The following is an 18,368-nucleotide window of genomic DNA, read 5'->3' on the forward strand; positions in this document are numbered from 1 at the left end:
GTGTCAGACCCCTTTTAGCAACCAACTATATGGGGAACTAATAGAGGGAGAACCTACTGTCCTCCCCAGGGAGGGAATTAATCTATTAATGAGGGACCCACCCCCATGACCTAAGCACCTCCCATTAGGCCCCACGTTCAACACTGAGGATCAAATTTCAACATAAGGTTTGGAGGGGACAAATATCTAAACCATAGCAACTAATAAATTAAGACATTCCACATATCTGTGTGTTCTCAATGGTTAATGATTAATCATTAAAACCTCACTCTGTATTTAAAGAATTGTGGCTGTAAAACTTTCTAAAAGGTTACACCAGTGTTCATTGCTCTATTCTTTTAAGCCTTCTAGTATTTTTTAAGGTAAGATATTCAGCTATGTCTTCTTAAAGTGTAATTTAACTTCTCCACTGTTGATGTTAAAGAAAATGATCTTTTATGATCAAAAGCTTCTATAGCAGCTGCTCTGTGCCAGGCATGTTGTGAATGCTTTACATATATTAACTCTTTTAAACCTGACAATAGCCCTTTCAGTCAGGTATTATTATTGCCTATCCCAAAGTTAGTGAGTTAAAGAGCCTGACTTTGGTCCTAGGCAGTCTAGTTCAGCGTCCTCACCTTTAATGACCATGTTACTCTGTCTATCTACACCCCAGGGATCAAGAACAGTGTTTGCTCCAAAATAGTTCACTAATGATTATTATTTGAGTTAATGAGCAAGTGAATGAATGAACTGCACTTCCCAAAGTCTTTTCATTTACATTATTTCATTTAAATGTTGCAGCAACCCATTGTTCATTGACTGTGTGGCTAGTATCCCCAGGTTACCAACGAGAAAACTGAGTCCTGGCAAGGTGGAAGGTCAAGTTACCCCACTGGGAGGTAGCAGAGCTGGGCCTCAAATACAAAGCATTTTAACTGCTAGTTCATTGCTCTTTCCACTTCTATATAATTAAGGAGACTGACTGAGTGCAGACCATAAGTCATTGACATTATTTTTAATCAGTTGGGAGATTCCAGATAAACCATTCAGATTTCTGATTTGTCTTTAAAGAAGAAGGAGGAGATTTGGCTGCACGGGGCATCATTCCCACAGGCAGCCATCTGTCCCCTGGAGCTGCCACCTCATGGCCTGCAAGGGTTCATCCACCCCCACAGCAGTCTTCAGAGAGGAGAAATTATCAGGCTCTCTTTACTAAAGAGAAAACTGAGGTCTGGTCCTAATGCTAGAGGCAGTGGGGTCAGCTCCAGAGCCATCCCTTAAATGTCACCTGTGCTGAGGCTGAGACTGGGGCCTGCAGCATGGACAGGGGAAGGCACAAAACAGGCCTCAGAGTGAGGAGTGTTTCCTTTCGACTGAGGTTCCTGAGAATGGAGAGAAATATTTTCCCTTTTAAAGGAGATCTGTGCCCGCCCTAATTCTCCAGCTTGCCAGGAAAAAAAGTGCAGCTGCTGTTCCAGGCCTCAGAACAAATGAAAGCAAAGAAAAGGGTTTCTTTCTTCCCTTGCAGGGGACAGATGACCTTGCTGCTTCCTCTGAGATGACACCCACGTGGAGGTCTGCATTGGTTCTGTATTTCCCTGCTCTCTCTTGTTGCTTGAGGAAAGTTCTGAGCCGTCTCTGCCATAATAAGGCATAGAGGAGGCCTCAAATAGCCTGTCCCGGGCCCCTGGCTGCTTCAGGAAGGACACATTCCTTCTAGAAGAGCATCCTCTTGGCCAGAGTTGCTAAGAGCCGGCATTCAGACCTTGACCCTTACGACACAGAGAGTGCGCAGAGGGCACAGCTTTCCTGCCTGCTTCCTGAACAATTTCTATTTGCCTCTGCACACAGCATTCTGCAGTGGGGTTTAGCAAGGAGAGCAGCTGGGAGCTTCCTTCTTTCTTTCATTCTTCCCTCCCTCCCTCTTTCCTTCCTTTATCCACAATGTCCAATACACATATTCACTAAGTAATTCCTATGTACTAGACACAGGGGTTAAAGCAGAACCTAAATAGAGCCTGCCAGCCCTCATGCCTGGTGCCACACTCCATGGGGTAGACAACATAAACAAGTTAACAAATAGCACACTGCCACCTGGGGCTAATGGTTTTGAAAGAAAAACAGTAACAGCGATTGTGGTAGAATTATGGTGAGTTCTTTCTGAAAGGCATTGGAGAAGGTTTCTCTGAGCTCCCTTCCCCCTCACCCCCCGAATACACACACAGATGGTGAGAAGGAGAGAGCCAGGTCAAGACCTAGGGGAAGAACATTTCAGGCAGAAGAAACTGCTTGTGCAAAGGCCCTGGGGTAGGAGTTTGCTTTGCCTGTGCAATGAATGGCATGAGGCCCAGTGCCTAGAGGGAGGTGGGAGGGGTGGAGAGGTGCCTTGCTGTTGACACCGCCACCCTCGGGGCTTAAGCTGCATTGGAGGCTCCTTCTCCTCCGTCCTCCTTCCTTTCCCTGTCCTCTCTTTTGGGTCTTCTTTGGGCCTCCCGGCCTGTCTTCATCTCTGTGATTCTCTCCCACTCTCACTGTGTCTGTGTGCATCACCCTCTCTCTCTCAGCAGCACAGAGAAACATACTCAAGGGTCAAGGGAACGCCTAAGGCACTAATAGGAATTACTGAAGGCCGGGCACGGCGGCCCACAACACTGTAATCCCAACACTTTGGGAGGCCGAGGCGGGCAGATCACTTGAGGTCAGGAGTTCGAGACCAGCCTGGCTAACATGGTGAAACCCCCTCTCTCCTAAAAATACAAAAATTAGCTGGTGTGGTGGTGCACGCCTGTAATCACAACTACTCGGGAAGCTGAGGCAGGAGAATCACTTGAACCCAGGAGGCGGAGATTGCAGTGAGCCGAGATCAAACCACTGCACTCCAGCCTGAGTGACAGAGCAAGATTCTGTCTAAAACAAACAAACAAACAAAGAACAAACAAGGAATTACTGAAGTCCCACAATCTATCCATTCAATCACCTATTCATTCACAAACATTGCTGAAGTCCCTAACCTGTGCCAATCCCTGGGAATATAAAGCTAGTCTGTCTTCTCAGGAAGCTAGCAGGCTACAGGGGAGATACATGTGCAGATAAAACTTTAAGCACCATTTGACCAGAGCCCCGAAGAGCAAAATGAAAGAGCCCAAGGGAGTCCTCGGAGGGAGTCCTGAACTCTGCCAGGAAGGTCAGGGGCGTCTGCACAGCGGTGGTGACATTTGACCTGGGGTGGAGTGCGGTGGTGACAGCGTGGGTGAGAGGTGAGGTGGCTTCCATTCAAAGGGGACCCAGGTGAGTAACCAGTGAGTGCATCACTCTGTGACTCAGTTTCCACATCTGTAAAATGGGAGATACCAAGCTCAGAGCACCCATGCCCTGGAATTGCTGTGAAAGTTATGAGTTAGGTCACATGGTGCCCACATCAGTACTTGGCACATAGTAAGTGCTCCACAAATATTTGTTGCATGAGGAAGCACACAAATGGATGAGTTGAAAGCACCTTTCCATGTTTGTACTACGGGTGAGACCAGAACAGAACAAAATTGGTGTTTTCCCTCCTTAACAATCTCCAAATATGGATCATTCCTCTGATCTGCTCCACTTCCTTTGTTTTGGACAGTCAGTGGAATTCCAGCAGCTGGCATGATGGGAGGCAAGTTTGATTTTGTTTTAGCCAAAGGCAACACAGGGCAGAATTGAGCATGCAGCTTCTGGGGCAGGCTCTGCCACCTCCCAACTATGTGACTTGGGAGAAAATACTCACGTGCCTGCCTCATTTGTCCCAAATGGGAATAGTCACAGGGTGAAGATTTAAGTAAGTGTAAGGAAGGTGTTGCAGATTCACAGGGTGAGTGTGCTATAGTGTGGCTGGTGGAATAATGGCCCCCCAAAGGTGTCACGTCCTAATTTCCAGAACCTATGACTCTGTTACCTTATGTGAGAAGGAGGAATTAAAGTTGCTAATCCACTGACCTTGGGAATGGGGAGATGTCCCTGGATTATCCGGGTGGGTCCAATGTCATCATGGGGTCCTTAAAGGTGAATGAGGGAGGCAGGGGACTCTGAGTCAGAGATGTAAAGATGGAAGCAAGGTGACAATGTCACAACGGCGGAGCTCAACCTTCCACTGCTGTCCTTGAAGACAGAGGAGGGGCCGGGAGTCGGGAAATGTTGGCATCCTCTAGAAGCCAGAAGAGGCAAAGAAACGAATTCTCCCCTGCAGCCTCTGCAGAGGAGGACAGTCCTGGAAACATCTTGATTTTAGCCCTTTTGAGCTTCTGACCTGCAGAACTGCAAGAGACAAATGAAAGTTACTCTAGCTGCTCTTTGAGTAATTTGTTACAGGGGCAATAGGAAATGTACAACCAACCATTGCATCCACTTCACGACCCACAGGGATTTCTGTCTTTTCCGCCACTGATTTGCCGTCGCCTAGAACAAACACTGCCTGCAGCTTGGTACCTGCTGGGTACACATTTGTTCAAATAGTGCATAGATGAAGTCTAGGTCAGTCTATGCATTTCATCCCCGGGCCATCTTGTTTGGTTTGGAGGGTGCGTGTGATCTATTCCTCCCTGTTTAAGAGGATATTTGGGGATTATTGCTGGAAAAGTTAGGGCAAAGGAGCTCTCCCTGTGGATGGGGTGCCTGGTGGCTCTGAGGACTGGGACAGTGGCAGTCACTGGTGCCACCCTGATGGGGACCAGCAGGGAGAGAAGCATGAATAGTGGGGGTGAGTGACTTGTTTGGCAGAGCAGAGAGAAAAAAGGGCTGAAAATGCCCAGGATTTGAAACCCAGGAAAATATCGAACTGTCTGCTGATCGAGTAGCAAGGAGGAAGAGCTGGGTTTAGCGTAAATGAAAGATTGACTCTGAAAGCTGAAGACTTTGGAAACCCTGTGTTTCCCAAGCAAGATTCTGGACCATCAGCATACCAGCCGGGAAAACACAGGAGGAAACCAGCGGGGAAAACGCAGGCTGGCTTTCTGGCCACAGTCATTCTGTCTGCACAACCCCTCGGTATGGAATGAGAGGAACACCAACTCACCCCGTGCATAGGACTTTACATTTTGCAAAGCATTTAAAGATATTTTTAAAATGTACTTCTCAAGACAACTCTTATTAACAGCATCTACCTGGGACAGATGAGGAAACTGGGGCTCAGGGAGTTCGTTTATTTAGCAGACATTTATTGAGCCCCTACTTTGGGCATGTTCTTGGCTCCAGGGATACAGCAGAGAACAGAGCAGGTGAAGAGAAGGCCTGCCTTGGTCAAGTGGTTACACTAATAGGGGAGACAGATAATCTGTGTGAATGAAAGGTGCGGTTGCTCAAGTCATTTGGCTGGAAGAGTTAGGACCGAGATTCCCAGGTCAGCTGGTTCAGTGGCTTTGGTCTCACTCCAGATGGTAGCAGAGATGCTTGGGCGAGGGACAGCCTCCTCCAAGGTACCCCAGACCTGCCTCTGTGGTCACAGATTGGCCCAGAGATTCACTCCCATCCTGGCACTGCCCTACTTAGGAGAAAAAAGAATAAACCAAATACTGTTGATTTCTTTTGATAAAAAGTTTTGATCCTCTATTGATGGCTCTGGAATTTTCATACAAGAGATGGTAATTTGGTTGGAAGAGGATTTCAAAGAAGCTTTTATTGTTTATAAGTGTTCTCTCCCTTCCAGGAAGAAAGGGATATCACTTCCCCTTTGTTTTGTGAAACTGGGGAGGGTGGCGTGTGGGGCTCGTTCTATACAATTGGATGGAGGAGGCATCGTGTGTTACTCCAGACCTACGTGTTTCTTGGCAGGTGTGCAAACTCCAGGCCGTCTACCCTGCACTGTGATGGTGGAGATCGGTGCTTCAAGGTTAACAGAGCAAGATGAAAACCTCCAGGATGGCTGAGTCCACGCGGGTATGCTGCCTGCAAGGGTGAGCTGGAAAAAACAACAAAACATAAATAAGCACGTAAGTTAATACACAAACAAATTCTTGGTGTGATTGCCACTGAGATTTGGAGACGATTGCTGTTAGAGCGTAAGCCCAGCTTTCTATGTTCAATAAGGGGCCATGATGATAGGCATAGGACACTTATCTCAAAGCTGCCTCAGCGGAGCATTCACAGTTTCTACTTGGCATGTATATTTCAGATAAATAAAAATGGAACAGTTTCATAATGCTTATTTTTTACTTTATGTATGTGTTTTCTTAGTGGGACACTAATGGAGATTCAGAGAGGGGTGGATGAACTTCCCTTTCTAAGCCGTTTCTTGGCACTAACACTAGTGAAGAATATTAAACCAAGAACTCAGGTGTTCGGGGATTTCTTAAGGGGCAACTCTTATTGCGACTTAATTAAGAAGCTCAGCTGAGAAGCATGAGGCTATTAAACAGAGGTTGACGGAGCCCTAGTTGATTCAGGGCTGCATAGAGACACAGCCTTTATTAGTCTTCTTTGCTTCTATGAAAGCAAAGTAGGTTTGTGTTCCACTTGGGGGCTAATCCATTAGTCGCTGCAAAATCTCAGAGGACAGGCAGGTCCATTTCAAACCTCATTTGCAGTGAGCTTTTCATTTTAGTGGTTTTGGAAAGGAATTCATATGCCTAAACCCTAGAGTGTTTGGTTACCTCATGCAAATATTTAATACCCACAGCAAAATTTCAGTATAACACCAACAATTTGTTTTCCTTGATATCAGCCTCATTTGTCAAAGCTATTGACCCAGGCCCGTAAAGAAATGCCACTCTTGGCCCCTTTGTAATGGTTTTATGCAAATTGCTTTCAAGATTTAATTCTGTGGAAATGTTTAGGAAGAAAAAAGATAGGAAGAGAAGCTAGACCAAAACTGAATATGAATAGAAGGATGGAGGGGAAGGAAGGGGCAGAGGAGCAGAGGTGGGGTCCTGGAGAGAAGGGAGACAGAAGAGGAGGGACAGGTAAGAGTGTCCTGACATGTTAAACTGGACTTTCTCTGCAACATGGAGAGGGTTGGGAGCTTAGGGAAGAAGATCAACTCCTATCCCGTACACTTGATAAATAAGACACTGACTTTGAAAGTACCAAATGCAACTCACATTATTTTGGCTCTGTCTGTATCTTTGCTCTATTCCTATTTGAGCAAAGACAGAGAGAAGCCAGAACAATAATTTCATGAGTGGGGCAAAGATGGCCCAACAGAGGAAGGTCACCTGAGGACCCACAACACTTTCCAAGGGGCAGAGGGGCAAGGATGGCTCATACACTTCCAACTACTCTCATCCCCTAAACTGATCTGCAGAGAGCATGCTTGCTGGGTGGTCAACACGCCTATTGTCTTCTCCCGTCACCTTTTTCCGATTCTCCTCCTCCCATTTTGCCAAAGAGAGCGTAGTTTCCCACCCATCCCTCGAGGTGCTCCGCCTCGAGGGTATCAAACAAAGGGATGACTCAGAACCTTGGGATCTGGGGCCAGGGCTCCTTTAAGCAAAATTCCACGATGCTCACCATTCAGCTGTTGGAGAGATGCATTTTCAATATCAAATTCTTTTCATTTTGAAAGATCATCACGCGTCACTTTTTATTTATATTGTTTTCATCAAGTGGGTACTGTTGATAATTCCAATAACTTAATTCAAAATAAATTTTTAAACCCTTAAAGATTTATATTCACAGTACTCTTTAAAATTACATGTGTGTGTGTATGTGTGTGTGTGTGTGTGTGTGTGTGTGTGTGTGTGTATGTAGTCATCTCTCTGTATCTGCAGATTCAACCGAGGATCAAAAATATTCAAAAATGAATTGTGTCTGTATTGAACATGCACAGACATTTTTATTGACATTATTCCTTAAACAGCATTGCATAACAACTATTTACATAGCATTTACATTGTATTAGGTATTATAAGTCATCTAGAGATGATTTAAAATATACAGGAGGATGTGTGTAGGTTATATGCAAAATCTACACCATTTTGTATCAGAGATTTGAGCACTCATGGATTTTGGTATCCAAGCGAGGTCCTGGAACCAATCCCCCATGGATACTGAGGGACAACTGCATATACACACACACACACACACACACACACACACTCTCTCTCTCTCTCTCTCTCTCTGTCTCTCTCTCCCTGTCTCATATATATTCAGAGACCACAGGAGCAGAAGAGCATTCACCAGCTATGTTTGACTTTAGCATCCAGGCCTTCCAACCGTGCAGACACTCTTTCCATGTGCGGTTGGACTCCAGCTCCAGGGACCACTGGGAACTCTCTGTGAACAGTTCTGTGGTCTACATTACATCTCACATAAAATGCAGCGATTTCACAGGCTGCAGCCCCACCAAAACAGTCTCATAAATGGTTTTTTAAGCTTCCATTCAGCATATAATGCGGTCTCATCCATTTCATTAATCTTGGTTACATTCACATTTTACAGTTTTGTTTTTCTGGCTAAGACCATTGAATTTTTTTTTTTTTTTTTTTTTTTTTTTTTTTTTTTTTTTTTTAGATTTCTCCATTTCTAATACGGAAATTTGGATTTCTGCTCAGAGATCATCGTTCACCAAGAATCTGAATTTTTAATCAATTTCTTATCTATTTGAACACAACATGGATGAGAGACATGTCCAAACCTTTCTGGGTTGCAAATACTGAGTGGGAGGCCAGCCTTCATCACCAGGCGAGAGGTCTTGTTCCACCCCCGAGCTTGACCGCATGGGAATCAAATTCATGACTCAGCCAAGCTTGGCATGGCTGCATGTGATGGGGTATGGTGGCCATCAGTGCTATTTGCTAAATATGTAAGGGCTTCCTTCCTGCCTTTTGGTAGAATTGCACTTCCCTGCCACCTTGCCGTTTGGTGCAGTCATGTGACTGGTGTTGTCTAAGACATGTGAGTGGAAGCAGCGTGTATCATTTTTGAGCCAATGTTCATTAAACCACTTTAGCTTCCACCTGTCATGGTGATTTTCTAGAAATGTGTCAAGATGAAGGCTGGGGCCCTGAGCAAATACAATGTGCAGACACCACTGTATTCACAGAAGGGAAACATAGCATTTGAGAGAATTAGCTGTTTCTTATTTTAAGCTGCTGAGATTTGGGGATCTTTTAACTGCCCATAAGCCATCCCAATTAACACACAGAGTCATTTACAAATCATTAAAGCCTCTGATGTTAAATCTGTGAATTGAAATGTTCTACAATGTGCAAATCACTTTGGTAACTTTTTTTTTTTTCATCTAGAAAAACTCAGTCCTTCGTCAGCTCTGAATTGTGGTGGTAAACTCCTGGGTTCTATCTGAAGTCAAATACCAAGGAGAAGGTGCAAGCTTCGCCTTCTGGAATAAATTCAGTGAACTGCCAAGCTTCCATTCTCTCTCCTTGGTACTTGACTTCAGACAGGACCCGGGAGTTTACCACCACGATGTTTCCTGCTGCCTGCTGTAGCCCTCTGAGCCCTGGGTCTGTGCTCACTATGCTGATCCTGGCGACCATGACCTCAGTGACATTTCTCAAAAATCCCATTTTCTGCTTTGACCTAGGGTCAGAGACACACTCAATAAGCAAGCCTGGTGTCCATCAAACGTTGCTTTAAATAAGAACATAAACTTAAAGGTCTTTACAAGAGAAATGGCATGTGCAGCTAATGGAGACCAGAGAAAGAGTTATTAGTCCAGGAAATCAGGAAAACTGATTAGCAAGACGAAAGGACATGGCCTGAAATCCAACTAAGCAGTGACAGATGCAGATATTATTCTGCAGGTGTTAGTTCATCCTGCTTAAATAGCAAGGCCTGAAGGCTGGTGGGATCCTTCACTCCTTTACGTTGACAACAACAACAAAAAAACACCAAAACTCAAATTTAGATAATCATCAATTGCAGAACAATTAAAAATTATCTTTGTAACCAGAAAACTATTTTTCTCTCCCTGCATGTAATTGTCTGCCCTTTGTCTGAGGCCTTAACAGATCAGAGGTCAAGCATTCTTAAGCTTTGAGTGGAACCAGAGCACTCAATCCAGCATCAAAGTCCTGAATGAGGTCGGCTCCTCCTGGAAAATTTTTGAAAGTACACGTCATCGCATTCCGATGATTCTGGCCTTAAATTTTCCTTCCATTTCTTAGCTGAAGGCCTAATTGAAAACAGCCAAAGCTAGTTGGGTGCTCTGTCTTAAAGGTAAAGAAGGACACCTTCAGGAGAAAGGAGGGAAGAGAGCTGATAGCTTGATGACTCTTCTTGCTGAACCAGCTGAATCTAAGGACTGAGTAGTAACCGGCCACACAGTATAATTTTAGGGACCCTCTAAGTACCACTGGACTGCTGTGTGCCTTCAATACTACCATTATTGCTCCTTTCAGGTGAAGGCACTGAATACTCCTTTTAAAGTAAAAACATCATATAATTGGAAGATTTAATCAGTCAGCACTCTTGGTTGCATGCAACAGAAAACGAGTTAAATAGCTTTAAATGAAAGAATTTTATTACATCAGGTGACTAAAATGTGCCAGGAATGCCTTGTTCGTTGCAGGCACAGCTGGATCTAGAGGCTGCAATGATGTCATCAGGTCCGGACGAGTGTCTCCTGGCCTCTTGGCTCTTCTTTTTCCCTCTCAGGACCATTCTTAGAGAGTATCTCCTGTCATGGCTGAGGACAGATTCAGCCCGGCAGAAAAGAGCCTCTGCTGCTCTCAGAAGCCACAATAAAAGGCCTGTTGCATCTCATTGGCCCCAAGTGTGTCACATGCACCCAGGCACTGGAACATTCATGGCAGCTTTGTTTGTCTGTGATCATGAAAAACACAGAGCCAGCCCGGATGTCCACCAGCTGGAGCTCATGGCGTGGAGTACTCTACAGAGGTTAAAATAAACTGGAAAAGTGGTCATACATGAAAATGCAGTGAAAGTGAAATACACGAGCATAGTAAACCTAAAGTTCAGGTGTGATTCTCAGAGGGAGGGAGGCAAACATGATGGTGGAGAGTTACACTAGAAGCTTCCACTGTGCTTGTAAAGTTTGATATCCTTTGTGAAATGGTTTGTTGCAGAATAGTTTTCTATGCACCTAAAATGCTTTTGAAAATTCAAGCCACAAATACCCAACCCACACTCAGCGTATCATCTTTGCCCTGAAATGATGTCTGTCCCACGTGAGTCTGTGCATCTTGTTAGATAACCTCAGAAACATGAGAACACTCGACTCGTTCTCCTTAGCAGCAGGCTCCTGCTAGCTCCGTTCTCCTGGATCCCTTTGGATTTGTCTTGCTGGGTTGTTGGGGAGTGGAGACGCCCTCCTCCCTGAAGCGTTTCCTCACATGGTGATTTGTCTATTGTGCATCAGTCAGGATCCCGGGAGGACCTGCAGGTGCAGCCACCTCCCCACAGGGACAGAACCAGATCCAGCTGCCGAGAACCAGGAGACCCAATGTCAGGTGCAATTCTGTGCTGGGATCTGAGTGGAACCACAGGTCTGTGCAGCAGGAGGTGAGAAGCTCATGACTACAGAGAGAGGCATGGCTGGGGACCCAGTGCCTCTGCCCCATCTCCATCTCTGCACCTCGGGGCAGCAGAACACTCCAGGCCTCTCTCACAGTGACCAGCATGGAGCAAGGCTGCCCATCTCCCCACCAGCCTGCCCTGAGTATGAAACTCCAGCATTGGAGATTCCTTCCTTTTTGGTTTTCCTTCTTTCCCTTTTATAACTGAGCAACTTCTAGGCAGGATGGCTGAATGAGCCATACCAGTCCACCTTCAGCAGGGGCTTCTGGCTGGCTGATGGAGGCATGTCTCTGGGGAACAGCAGAGCTCAGGGTAGGGACAGAACAGGGAGAGCTGGGAGGAAGGAGAAAGGCCCTGCAGCAGACGCTGCAGAAGCTTTCCATCCTCCTTGCCTTAACCTGGGGCTCACCCAAGTCTATACTCGTGGTGAGGGCAGGGGGAAAATTGCTTTTTCTTAAAGTCAGTCATTGATGACACCTCCTATCACTGAGTATTCTTGGGGCAGGCCTGCCCCAACCAGCTAGACCAATGGTTCCTACGGAATTTTTAAGGTGGACAGAAGGTTCCTCTGGGGACGTTAGTCAGAGCTGGGTGTCTAATGGAGCCCTCACCGCCAGTTCAGCCAGAGCAGCTTGTTTTTGATCTGTTTGACAAATAGAACTTTTCCATAAGGTTCCATTTGAATGAAGTCTTCACACCTAAACATTTGAGAATGGCTGCTTCAGTCTAAGCTGGGATCATCTGGTTTCAAAACCGTCAAAGAAATTTCAGCAGGAAAATTTGGTCAAATAGTATTGCCCTGGGCAGGCTTGTATGCCCACCCACTTTAGCCATGGGCATTAGTTATCTATTGCTAGATAGCAAGCAACCCCACATTTTAGTGGCTCAAAGAAACATGTATTTGTCATCTAGCAGTTTCGTGGTTCAGGAAACTGGATGTGGCTTGGCTGAGTTCTCTAGCTCTCAAGGCTGCAAACAGTATCAGCTGGGGCTGTGGTTTCATCCTAAGACTCACCTGGGGCTGGAGGACCTGCTTTTGAACTTATTCAAGTGGTCTTTGGCAGGATTTAGTTCCTCAAGACAGCGGACCTGAGGCCTTTGGTTCTTTGTGGCTGTTGGCTGGAGGCCTCCCTTGATTCTCACCCCATGGGGAGCTCAGCACTTGGCATCTGGCTCCCCCAGAGCAAGCCGGTGATGGGGAGAATAAGACATTACATCAGTCTTTTTTCTACCCTAATTTCGAAAGTAGCACCCCATCATTTTTCCCATATTCTATTTGTTTGAAGCAAGTCCCTAGGTCTAGCCCACATTCAACGAGAAGGGATCACACAAGGGCACAGATACCAGGAAGTGGGGACCATTGGGAGCCCTTTTTAAAATCTGCTCCCCACACTGTCTCTGGCTACATTTTAGATAGTTGTTAGACTAAACTGTGAATAATTGACAGACTGCAATTTCTTCTATTTCCCTATTTTAGAGGTATCTCTCTCCTGGAAACAGCCCTTGTTCACACCAGAGGTGTGAACAGAAATTCTTTTGCTTTGCTGGCCTCAAACTGATAGAAAAATGTATCAGTTCAGGCAAAGTGTTCCTCACTGGTTTGCTGAATTATGTCTCTTCTTTTTATCCCTTAACTTATAATTTTATGGACTGTGGAGGAGGATGGGAGAATTGGGGTTGGGTTTTCTATTTTCTTTTTTTCCCCTTCTTCAGGGAGAAAAAAACTTGGCTAGAGTTGAGTGCCTCCTAATCCCCAGTAGGAATCTGACATTTTAATTTTGCTTTCTCGCCCTCTCCAGTCTGGCCTGAGGTGCAGGTGGGGACCTCCCAGCACTGTTATCATAATCCCAAACAGCCATGACAGAAGCCTGCCTGAGGGCTTCAGGGGAGACTGAAGAGTCCCAAATGCATCTCTTGTCTAGGATGATGAAAAGTTGATTCGGGCTTGCTACCAAATGTTACTTATCAGATGCCAAGTGGCATTGTCTATGCATGGCGCCTGGTCCTGCCGGGGAGCTGATTGAGGGTGAGCTCCATCCAGAGAGCAGGAGGGGTATCTGGGCACTAAGCTAGGTGGATTTAGGACCCCCAGCACAGTTTTTGGCTGGGACCATTGTTTGGTTCTGACAAACAGCAGGGCACCATGGAGACAGGAAAATAGGCAAAGAAAATGACTCATCTGGCTGGAAGCCCAGAAAATGTATGCTAATACCTTCACGCAGACAAAAATAAGATTATAAAGAGACTGGTGGCAAAAAAAAAAAAAAAAAGCCAGCCTCAAATGATGCTTCTCTTTAATCCATCCACTTAGAAGCCCAACAAGTTGCCGAGATCCACCGTGCCAAAGAGAGAACCATCATATTAGTGAAGTTGCTTTTCATGTCAATTCTTTCCTTTCTGTAACTAAAACTCAACTATGGGAGACATACTCAGCAGTCACCAACATTCTAGATTCCCCTCCTCTTCCCATCCCACAAAAGGTTTACAATTCCCCATCCTTGAAGTTATGTATGGACATAAGATCTTGCTTGGCCAAGGAAATCTGAGGAAGTGACATGTGTTGTTTCAGTATAATTATTTAAAAGCTGGTATATGATTCTCTATGGTCTCTTGCCATGCCATGGTGATCATGGGAGCATGTATTGAGATGCAGATACTGAAAGATGGTGGAGCTTCTGTTCCTTTAGATCTCTGAGAAGTTAAAATAAACTGGGCCTCCCTAACAACTCATGTGAGATATATAGAGTGTGTTTTGTTGTTTTAAGCCAAGGGGATTTGGGTACTGTTGTTTGTTGCAACATTGCCTTGCTTATCCTCATTAGTAAGTCCACCATCCTGCATCCCAATATACTTTCTGTAGACACATTAAAAGCTTACCACTTCCCGGAAAGGCACAGTGGCTCGCGCCTGTAATCCCAGCACTTTGGGAGGTCGAGGCGGGCAGATCACCTGAGGCCAGGCGTTCTAGACTAGCCTGGCCAACATGGTGAAACCTGTCTCTACTAAAAATACAAAAATTAGCCAGGCGTGTTGGTGCCCGCCTGTAATCCCAGCTACTCGGGAGGCTGAGGCAGGAGAATTGCTTGAACCCGGAAGGCGGAGGTTGCAGTGAGCCGAGATCACGCCACGGCACTCCAGCCTGGGTGACAGAGTAAGACTCCATCTAAAAAAAAAAAAAAAGCTTACCACTTCCCTTAAACTTACCCTCAATTAAAGACTTATTCTCTGGCCCTCCTAACAAAAATACAAACTTATTACTGACAAGGCAGCACCTGGGTCCAGCAAACAGGGATTCCGGCGCCCAAACTTGCATATCATGAAAGGGAAAGGAGCATTTAAAAGCTCTGACATTGGGGACAGACACTTTAATGGTTCTGTCAATGGAGATTAAAACTTGAAAATAGCCAAGGGTACACTTTTCGAGGTCTATATTTTAAATGAAATGACAAGAGGAATGAACCTGCGGGACTAAAGTGCTTGGCACCATTTGGGAATTATTTGAGCCAAATAATTGCTGTCATGCCTGGTGTGATGTATATTTTATTTCAATCTTTTAAGAAATAGGAAGGAGAAGGTGAGAGAAAATATGTTCTACACAAGAGACTGGACAATTGATCATTAACCACAGACTCAGAAATCAAAGGAGCTCAGATTGCTTTTGCTCCCATAATAAGGGAGTTGTAAAAAGATAGGAGATGGTTACAGGTTATATTTATAAAGCATTAAAACTGTCCTTCTACTAGAAAATACAAGCTTAAGCTCAGCATTATAGGCAAATGTTGCTTTTGTGTTCCAGCATCCCTTCACATGACTTTTAATAAGGTTATATCCCCCTTTTTATTTTCCTGGATCAAACCCCAGTTCACACCAGAGAACATTGATTCTACCCTCAGTTCCAGCATGAGTCTTATGGGCTTAGGTCAGAAACCTACTTTATCCTGTCCATTCTCAGTGATTGGTTTAGTGAGGGATGTGTAGTTCAACAAAGCTTTGTAACAAACAGCCCCAAAATCTTGGTGGCGTATTTAAAAAAAAAACAAAAAACTTCTTTTTCTCACTCACGAGTCTGCAAGTCAACTGGTGCATCTCTGCTTCAGAGTTCAGACCAGATCCACCTCCACATATCTCCATCCTGGGTTCATAGGATGCTTGGAGCCTGCCCTTCTTGTGCCTATACCATAAGGGCAAGATCCTAAGCATCCCACACAAGCATATCTAAAGCCTTCTCCCATGTCACGTCCACTAATACCCCACTGGCCAAAGAAAGTCACATGGCCAAGACCAAAGTCCTTGGAATGAGGATGTCAGGGAAGAGAGGAAAGGGATTGGGTACAATAGTCCAATCTACTGCATCCACGTGGCTCAGAAATGGTCAGTTACATGAGTCAACATCTTCCTTTTAATATTGAGTTGAGTTTTTATGATATTTGCAATAAAGCGGGTGCTAACTGAGACTCTTAGTGGGCCTTGTAGTGCCTGGACACAGTTGCATATTTGTCAATTTCTCCTTGAGAAGAACCTCAGAAACTCTCTAAGTGAAGCAGAAAGTTGGTGAAAGATCTATGACAGATGACAACAGAGGTGAGGACAAATTTCTAGGATTCAGCCCCTTCTGATTTCTGAAGTAGATTTGGGCACCGGCTTCCAGCTATGAGCAATAACATCAGAAAAATTCAGTCTGGGGTAAAGGTCACCCTGAATTAAGGGAGTGACCGAACCAAACATTTACAAAATGAGATGAGCTGCCATTCCTTTCAGACATCCATGGTCACTAAAATACACAGTCCTCTTGTCCCCTTGCTGACACTATTAGTTAATGTATGGGCTTAAATTAGACAGTTGAGCCATGCCTCCAGATGGGAAGGACTTGGTAACTGTTACTCATCTTCTCTTCTCATCCTCAACACACCTTCAATTTAAATGGAGTTGATCCCATTAACAACTGTTAGCCAAGATCTTTCAGGGCTGGGCCCTGTGCAATTAGGGAAGCACCTGGTAGAGCTATCCAACCAGAGTCTGATCCCAGATCCTTCCCTTCCAGGCTGTGAGATCCTGGCCAAGTGGCTTCACCTCTCTGAGCCTCAGCCTCCTCATCTTTAAGATGGACTATCACCCCCATATCATGAAATGTGGCTAAGAAGATAAACTCTGGGACCAAAGCACCAGGGTTTAAATCCTGGCTTCTCCACTTCCCAGCCATGTGACTTGAACAAGTGATTTCACCTCTTCACTCCTCAGTTTTCTCTTCTGTAAAATGGGAATAATGACAGTCCCTACCTCATGAGGTGAGTGTGAGAATTAAATAGCTAACAAGTAGAAGTGCTTAGAAGAGTTCCTGACACATTGATCACTCAGTGTGTGTTACTATTATTAAAACTGGTAGTAGTAGCATTTTCCTTCCTCTTAAGGAACTTAGAAATAATCTTATTGTCATAAGTGTATAGACAATTACATATGGTTCAGACTCCAACCTTTATAAAGTGAATGTGTTCTATGTGCCTGGCACCCTGCTAAGCAGCTTATATACATTACCACATTATCATATTTATTCTCACATGATGGTGATGACAATGACGATGATGCATCCTCCATCACAACAATGAAAACTGTGAGGCTCAGAGATACCCAGTGACTTCAGTGATTAAGGTCACACAGTAAATTATGCTTAAATCCAGGATTTAAATGCAGGCCATTTGACTCCAGAACCTGAGTCTCCCCATCTGACTATCCGGCTTTCACAGGAAAAGAAACGTAAAACACAATCTCATTCATCTGATTGTTCATTCATTCAATAGTATTTATTGAGTCCTTCCCATGTGCCAGGCATAGAAGAAGGCAGAGAAGGTGCATTCACCTATTCATCCATCCATCTATCCATCCATTCTTCATCCATCCATCCATCCATCCATCCATCCATTCTTCATCCATCCATTCATCCATCCATTAATCTATCCATCCATCCTTTCTTCATCCATCCATCATTCCATCATCCTTCCATATGCACATAACACCTAATAGTTCTAGGATGTAATGTCTCCATCACCAGCAGAGTTTCTATCATTCATGGGATGAATTCTGGGTTTTCACTAGAGGCTTCCCCATATTCACTGTAAATTTCTATGCCCAGAATCTATTCTTAGGAAATTAGGCCAGTCTCTGCTTCCCCAGATGCTAAGATTCACATCCTACTCTCCAAAACACAAGCATCCGTTGGATGCCCAGCTGGTCCATTATCAGATTCATCTGGCTCAGTCTCCAGACTGGGTGAGTTGTCTGTACACCCCAGGATGTGGATGGATGCAGGCTGGATAGCGGGGGTGTTCACATCTTGGTATTTACAAGATGATATTTACATCTTGGCTTCAGGCATGTTAGCATGTGAGTCTTCATTTGAAATACCATAAATTAATAGCGACTAAAATTTTAACATTTATTTGGTTTAAATTGCGCTCTGGATTCAGAAATATATTTGGACTAGGAGCTCTTCCAGGAATATTTAAATGATCATATTTTGCTAAAGTTGAATCTTTAAAGAAAATATACATATTCAACTCTTTAGTGAGCTGGATTCTGAGCTGTTTTTATTTCCTTTCTTAAGGAAATAATGTGTAACATTTAGTTTTGATTCTGTGATTGGCATTCCAGTCGATTAGCGTAGCTCATTTGGGTGTTTGGTTTAATTCAGATGACTAAAAATGCTTATTTATATAAGTAAACATATCTGTAAAGTAGTCACATTTCAAAAATTTTGGAAAATAAAATTTTGAAAAAAATGGACATGTTTGATGTACGATGCAGCGTTTTCCATTGCAAAGTTCTGAATCTTCAAGTTCTGCAATCTTTATGACTAGTCTGTTGTGTTTATTGGGGATAAGACCACAGGTCTCTATAACCCAGAACCCATTTGATACATATGGGGGACA

The 18,368-nt window shown here is 44.5% G+C and overlaps 4 annotated features.

The window, feature by feature from the left end:
- Positions 6,755-7,499: an enhancer, noted in NCBI's record as "NANOG-H3K27ac-H3K4me1 hESC enhancer chr20:46921157-46921901 (GRCh37/hg19 assembly coordinates)". NCBI's record gives its function as "activates a minimal SCP1, AML or CMV promoter by ChIP-STARR-seq in naive H9 embryonic stem cells {active_cell/tissue: H9 hESC(naive)}" and the evidence as "EXISTENCE:reporter gene assay evidence [ECO:0000049][PMID:30033119]".
- Positions 8,989-9,734: an enhancer, noted in NCBI's record as "OCT4-NANOG-H3K27ac hESC enhancer chr20:46923391-46924136 (GRCh37/hg19 assembly coordinates)". NCBI's record gives its function as "activates a minimal SCP1, AML or CMV promoter by ChIP-STARR-seq in primed H9 embryonic stem cells {active_cell/tissue: H9 hESC(primed)}" and the evidence as "EXISTENCE:reporter gene assay evidence [ECO:0000049][PMID:30033119]".
- Positions 9,735-10,478: an enhancer, noted in NCBI's record as "OCT4-NANOG-H3K27ac hESC enhancer chr20:46924137-46924880 (GRCh37/hg19 assembly coordinates)". NCBI's record gives its function as "activates a minimal SCP1, AML or CMV promoter by ChIP-STARR-seq in naive and primed H9 embryonic stem cells {active_cell/tissue: H9 hESC(naive and primed)}" and the evidence as "EXISTENCE:reporter gene assay evidence [ECO:0000049][PMID:30033119]".
- Positions 10,479-11,223: an enhancer, noted in NCBI's record as "H3K27ac-H3K4me1 hESC enhancer chr20:46924881-46925625 (GRCh37/hg19 assembly coordinates)". NCBI's record gives its function as "activates a minimal SCP1, AML or CMV promoter by ChIP-STARR-seq in naive and primed H9 embryonic stem cells {active_cell/tissue: H9 hESC(naive and primed)}" and the evidence as "EXISTENCE:reporter gene assay evidence [ECO:0000049][PMID:30033119]".

Source organism: Homo sapiens, chromosome 20 (genome assembly GCF_000001405.40).
Source record: "Homo sapiens chromosome 20, GRCh38.p14 Primary Assembly".
Classification (NCBI taxonomy): Eukaryota; Metazoa; Chordata; class Mammalia; order Primates; family Hominidae; genus Homo; species Homo sapiens.